The sequence below is a fragment of the Homo sapiens genome, chromosome 17, assembly GCF_000001405.40.
Source record: "Homo sapiens chromosome 17, GRCh38.p14 Primary Assembly".
Lineage (NCBI taxonomy): Eukaryota > Metazoa > Chordata > Mammalia > Primates > Hominidae > Homo > Homo sapiens.
In genome coordinates this window covers 17,691,076-17,697,469 of record NC_000017.11, presented here as the reverse complement: position 1 = coordinate 17,697,469, position 6,394 = coordinate 17,691,076, and the positions used below count along the sequence as shown (strand labels likewise).

The 6,394-nt window shown below is 56.6% G+C and overlaps 1 protein-coding gene across 4 annotated transcripts in view, besides 3 other annotated features; it reads right to left on the bottom strand.

The window, feature by feature from the left end:
* The window catches only part of RAI1 (retinoic acid induced 1), a 129,996-nt gene that overhangs the window by 113,984 nt on the left and 9,618 nt on the right, over positions 1-6,394 (bottom strand). The gene's annotated exons all lie outside the window — the stretch shown is intronic.
* Positions 2,459-2,888: a silencer, noted in NCBI's record as "silent region_8250". NCBI's record gives its function as "represses an Ori minimal core promoter by ATAC-STARR-seq in GM12878 lymphoblastoid cells {active_cell/tissue: GM12878}" and the evidence as "EXISTENCE:reporter gene assay evidence [ECO:0000049][PMID:35858748]".
* Positions 3,087-3,799: an enhancer, noted in NCBI's record as "H3K27ac-H3K4me1 hESC enhancer chr17:17596985-17597697 (GRCh37/hg19 assembly coordinates)". NCBI's record gives its function as "activates a minimal SCP1, AML or CMV promoter by ChIP-STARR-seq in naive H9 embryonic stem cells {active_cell/tissue: H9 hESC(naive)}" and the evidence as "EXISTENCE:reporter gene assay evidence [ECO:0000049][PMID:30033119]".
* Positions 3,800-4,514: an enhancer, noted in NCBI's record as "H3K27ac-H3K4me1 hESC enhancer chr17:17596270-17596984 (GRCh37/hg19 assembly coordinates)". NCBI's record gives its function as "activates a minimal SCP1, AML or CMV promoter by ChIP-STARR-seq in naive H9 embryonic stem cells {active_cell/tissue: H9 hESC(naive)}" and the evidence as "EXISTENCE:reporter gene assay evidence [ECO:0000049][PMID:30033119]".

Below are 6,394 nucleotides of genomic sequence, written 5' to 3'. Positions count from 1 at the left end.
TAGAGCGGGCCGTTGGCTGCAGGCTGACAATGTCCCTCCCTAATCTTTTCCCTAATCTTTTCATTTCTGAGAGTACACAGCGGTGATGGCAGGTGGTGGCCAGGCAGGGCATGGCGTGCCCATGCCACACCCGCTGCCCCTCGGCCAGGACTGTTATTCCCGAGGAAAGGGGCATTCTGTGATTTTTCCATCCAGTAAATCCAGATGCTGTTCTGATACAGGGCCCTGCATCCTCTTGTCTCTTCAGCTTTTTCCCCAAAGCCTTGGATGCCTTTTAAATGCCAAACCGTCCCTGGCAACTGTGATTTCCCAAGGCCTGTTTCACGCAGGGCTTGGATGTGTTAGAATTGAACCGTTCTGGAATAGGGGAGAAGAGACAGGCCTGGCAGTAGGGATAGGTCAGGGCAAGGGCAGCTTGTAGCTAGGGCCAAGGGGCAGCTGGGCAGAGGGAGGCTGTGCTGGTGCCAAGCCTGCATGCCTCCAGAGAGAGGCTAGAGAAGAGGGGCTGAGGAGCCAAGGGCAGCAGAAACCAACTCCTAGGAAGTCAAAGCAGAAGGTGGGTCACAGGATCGACAAGGGGCCTCGGGTCTGAGTGTGCCCAGGCAAAGGAGGCCCCGAATGAGGATGAGGCCAAGGTCTGAGACCTCCCTGAAACCTGGCATATCTGGGCCAGAGTAAAGCCCCTTACTATTGGAGCCCAGATCTCAGCATCGGGCCATGAGTCTTGCATGTCCCTGTCCACACTAGGCAGCCTCCTGGGCCCCCAGCAAGCAGGACCCCCTGACCCAAGCTGCATATCATTGGTTACTGGCAATGGAGAAGGGCTCTGTCGGGGGGCTACAGGTAGGGAGAGGACAAACTCAGAAAGTGAACAGCCAGTCCAACAAATCACCCCCAGAAATGTCTGCCTCATCTCGGAAGTTCTCCCAAGAACGTGGTTCAGGAGCATCTTAAACAGCATTAAGTAAGAAAAGCGGAATATCAACTGCTATATACAGAAGTAATGATGGCATACCTAAACAGACAAAAAACACAAAGCGAAAAACCCCATGAACGGGTGGTGGGGGGGTTGAGGGAAGACAACTGTGGCTGCCTTTGGAGACTGAGAGTACGGGTGAATTTTTTTTTAATTTGTCATATTTTCCAAAAGTCTATAATAAGCCTGTCCTCCTTTTATAGTGAGAAAAAAGCTATTAAAACCACCAAGTGCCTTACAAAACCAAATATACAGCATGACTCCGTAGATGTATCATAAGTGGTTTATCATACATCTACAGAAAGTATGTTGACAGTAGTTATATACTGCTGGTGGAATTATAAAGTTTTTACTTTTTTCTTGTATTTTTGGATATCTCTACAACCAACATATCAATAATCTGACAATTTCACTAAGAACAAAATGCTTAGGACTGGGAAGTTCTTTCCGATGGCAACCCTGAGTCTCTTCTGCTGCAACTGTAGCCGATTCTCAGCCTCTTTGTGCATGTGCCCTGGGTGAGGAGGGAGAAAGGCGCGAGGACAGCCTCTCAACCAGCATACAGCCTCCCTTCGGAGACCCAAAGGCCGACATTCAATTTAGCTGCCTACTCAGTACAGGTAGGAGGTGACAAAGGGTAGCTGAATCGGTGCCTCTTAAGAGACTAGGGGAGGCCGGGCATAGTGGCTCACACCTGCAATCCCAGTACTTAGGGAGGCGAAGGTGGGAGGATTACTTGAGGTCAGGAGTTTGGAACCAGCCTGGCCAACGAGGTGAAACCTCGTCTCTACTAAAAATACAAAAAAATTAGCCGTGGTAAGTGCCTGTAATCTCAGCTACTCGGGAGGCTGAGGCAGGAGAATCGCTTGAACTTGGGAACCGGAGGTTGCAGTGAGCGGAGATTACGCCACTGCACTACAGCCTGGGCGACAAAGGGAGACTCTAGCTCAAAAAAAAAAAAAGAGAGAGAGAAAGACCAGGGGAAAGAAGGCGGCTGTGGAGTAGTAACTAGGGACTTAGGGCACGAGAAGGCCGGGTGGGGACAGGGCAGTGTTGGCAGCAAAGTTCTGGAAGAGGCTCCCCCAGGGCAGGCGGGGTGCCCGAGCTCAGGAGGTAGGAATGTGCCTCCCAGCCAGACAGTCCAACGACTGCCAACTAGGGGAGGCCTGTGCTCCTGGGCTGGAGGGAGGCCGGCCGAGGTTGCAGGGTCCAGGCCTGGACCGGGTGAGGTGTGCAGTCCCGGCCCCCTTCTTTCTCCTGCCCTAGGGCAAAGGGTAGGTCCTCACTGACCCATGGACAGTTCCGGGGAAGAGCTCGAGACCCAGAGACTGCAGCTGAGAGGCCGCCTGGCCTCCACTTTTAATAGCCCCCAAGCGGTAGGGGTCCAGTCTCCCCATTATCCTGGCCCTCGGAAGCGGCTTCCCGAGGCCCCTGCCGTGGGGTTGCCGGGCTCGGTAAGCAGAGCCCGTCCCGAGGCTAACCCGCACAGACTCTCTTTCATTATCCCCAAACATCCAGGGAGTGGGAGAACGAGGCCCAGAGATGCGCGCCGCCTGGCCCGGTAACCCGCAAGCGCCGGCCGCAACGCTGGGACTGGAAGCCCCCGCGTTCCCGGAAAAAGACCCGGGATCCGCCAGGGGGCGGGGCCTCAGCACCCCGCCCCGCCCCGCGGCCCCGCGAAGCATGCCGGGCCGGGCGCTGCCATGGCGACGCGAGCGGCCCGCCCCGCCTCGCCCCCCGCCTGGCCTCAGCGCCCCGAAGGTCCCGGGCCCCCTCCCGGCGTCGGCGTCGCGGGCCCCGACCGCGGCCTGTGGGACGCCACCGCGGAGGAGGCTCCGGCGCGGCCAAGATGGTGGGCGCCGCGGGCGGGGAGGGGCGGGACCGGCAGGAAGCGCGGGCATTTGCCCTCTCGCCGCCCCTTCTCGAGGTCGGGGAGAGAGGAAAGGAAATGGCCTCGGAGGCGAGCGTGGAGCTGCCCGGGCGTCTGGCCTGACAGCTCCTACCTATGCCTTTCCTCGAGGCCCGGGCCCTCCCAGCCCTCTGAGAGGTGGGCCAGGTTGGGGGCTGCCCTCGCTGGGATCCAGAATGTGACTCACACCCCAGAAAAGATGCCCCTCCCTCCCCACAGGAAGGCCCGTCTTCCTGGCTATGTTCCTCCCCGCACCTCGTGCGTCTCCACCGCGACGAGGAGGGGGCAGTTTGGTTCCTCAGGCCTGATGCCAGCCTCTGCCCACCTACACCCCAGGCATCCGTTATTGGGCAGAGAACCCGTTTCCCCTCAGCACGGCTGCCTCCCCGGTCAAAGACTCCAAAGTGCCCACAGATCTAAGCAGAAGTCGCTGCCCTCCCAGGAGACCCGGCAAGGCTAGCAGCTCCCAGGAGACCCTGAATCCCTTTGATTCTGTGTCCTGCCAGCAATGACGGGACAAGGGTAGGATGAGAGCAGACACTGACTGGGCCAGGACAGGTGACTCTCCTCCTAAGCCAGCGAGTCCTACGTGTGAATGACTGCCCAGATTAGGTGGGCAAACAAGCCCAGATCTGTTAAGGAGTGAAGTGGCAGAGCTGGGACTCGGCCAGGCTGTGACTCCAGATGCCTGTCCACACGTAGTGGCACTCGCTACTTCCCGGCCGCCCAGCCCGGGCTGGTCCAGCCGCCGATCTCTGGCCCAGAGCAATGGCCTGGTCTCCCGTTCCTTCCTCTCCCTTCCCCCTACCACAGGCCTGGCTTCCCTTCTGAGCCGCCAATCTGCAGCCACACAAAGCCCTGTTTGTTTGCTTTCTCTGCTGCTCCCCCTGGATCCGATGTCTTTCTCAGCTACCTGCCGCCTGGCTTCCTCTCCAAGCTGCCTGCCCAGCCAGCTGAAGGGAAGGAGGGGCGGCCATTGCAGCAAGCGCCGCCTCATGGCAACCCCATCACTCCTTGAATCCACCTCCCCAGTGCAAGGGGCTCCTAGCCTGGGTGGCCTGACCTTCGACAATGGCTTTGGAGCCCCCTCGCAGCATCTTAGAATGTAGGGTGCCAGTTGGGTGGAGCAAGAAAGATGCCTGGGGCACGGGGAGGGGAGCTGGAGAGGCCCAGCCAGTCTCCCCTCTCCTTTTGTGATCAAGCTTGTTTTGTTTGTCAATCAGGAAGGCTGCCCCTGCCTTCCCAGCAACCCACTGGCTGCCAGGAGATAAGGAGATGAATGGGACCAGGAGGGCCTGATCAGAGGAGGTGGAGGAATGATGCCCTGGTTTCATGGCCCTCACCCATCCTCACTCTTTCTGGGGACTCCCAGGTATCCCAGGCACTGTGATGAGAGCTTACAGGCTGCACGGGGGCGTCACATGGTGGATGCCCTCAGTGCCCACCCTGGGCAGATGCCTCTGCATGGCAGGCACCCCAGAGTGTGCAGATGTGCGCACCCATGGCAGTGTCGGGAAGCCCTACACAGCCTGAGCGAAAACAGGGCTTTCACAGGCAAAGAAAAATAAATACCCGCATTCCACACCACCTTCTCTACCTGCAGAGTGGAGTCTGCCCTCTCTCCCCTTTCAAATAAAGAAACCCAACACTGATAGGCACAGAGATATTGCAATCTTGCCTGGCTCCCTCTACCTAGGACTCTTTTATTGCACCCTGCCAAGCTGGGTGGCCCAAGGACCTCCTCCTTCCCCTTCCATCCCTTTCTGTGCTGAATTTAACCCTTACAGCAACTCCAGGATAAAGGCATGATTATGCCCACTTGATAGATGAGGAAAGAGGAGGTTCTGAGGGAGAAAACCATGAAAAGAAAAACTGCTTTGGTCAGAAGCCAAGCTCATGGCTGTCTGACTGCAAGCCTTCACTTCCCACAAGGTCACAATATTATTTCATAGCCAGGAATTAGCTCCCGAATGGATGAGTGACTAACATGGGGAAGGGGGTAAGCAGCAGGCAGGGCCTGGCTTTGGAGCCTGCGGATGTGATTTCTAATCCTAGCTCTGCCACTTGGTTGCTGTGTGACCTCAGGCAGATCACTTAACCTCTCTGTGCTTCAGTTTCCTTGATAATGGATATAGGGCAGTTAATAAGACTTAGCGAGGACCACCCAATGCCTGGCACAATAGTAGGCACTCAATGCTGGCTTTTCTCCATCCCTTTCAGCATCCAAAGAGACAGATATTCACATATTAGAGGAACCAGGCCTCTCCCACCAATGCTTTCACTCAGTTGGCCCTCCTGTCAGGAACCCCCCACCTTCCCAACCCCTGTAACCATTTCTGGCCCTCTCAGGCAGAGGCCAAGGGCTGTCAAGTTCAGCTCCCCAGGCTCCTGTCCTGCCTAGGAGACCAGGTCCTCTTTGTTTAATTAGCCAGGGCAGGGGCCCCAGGGGACAGTGTCACCCCAAGGGAACAAAGCCAGCTCCAGCCACATCCTGCTGGAGTCAAGAAGAGAGCCACTCAATTAAGTCTGATTTGGCAAAACGTCTGTTTTAGTGCTATTTCGGGCCACGGTGGGGATTTTCTGTGCTTGTCTCAAAGGTATCATAAACCAGATTACTTCCCGCCTCCCTCACCCCTATCTGTGTTTGAAATGAAAATATTGTTTTTCCTCTGCTCTTTTTTCCTGCTTCTCTTTCCCACCTATCAGAAAGCTGCAAATGAGAGAAAGGGAAAAGGCTTGGCCCCAGGCTGGAAGGTAGCACCTGGGGCTAGGGTGCTCCCACTGCCCACCTGGCCCTGCTGGATCCCCCAGAGAGCAACATGCTGGGGGCTGGAGTTCCCTCAAACAGACTAAAGGGTTTAGTCCTCTCTTTTGCCTTCTCCCCACCTCTGGAAGCCACTTCCTGGGCCCCCCGAGGCCAGGCCTTTTTCTGACTTCTCCCCGGGCACACACCAGGTGCCTGGTAGCCTCCCCACCCACAACACACTCCTGCACTTTCTGCCTCTGAGCCTTTGCCTGGGCTGTGCCCTCAGCTGGAAAGACCTCCCCAAAGGCCCTCCCTTAAAAGAGTAGAAGGGCTCGCATCCCTCTTTCTTCCCGCTACCTTTTCCTTCATAGCTCACATTACAAATAAATCCATATCTAGGCAATCATTTCTGTAACGTCTGCTCACCTACCACGCTCTATGCTTCAAACGGGCAGGGGCTCCATCTGCTTGGCCACTGCTGCTTCCCAAGACAGGGATCTCAACCCTCGGCACATGGACATCAGGGGCCAGCTGGTGTGTGGTTCCGGGGGCTGCCTTGTGCGGTAGGATGTTTAGCAGCATCCATGGCCTTTACCCACTAGATGCCAGCAGCACCTCCCCAGCTGAGACAACCAAAAATGTCTCCTGACATGGCCCAGTGTCCCCTGAGACACAAGATCGCCCCCGAATGAGACCCACTGCTCCACAGCCTGGCACAGAGCCCCCTTGAATGAGTGAATACCCGATGACTTTACCCTTCTAA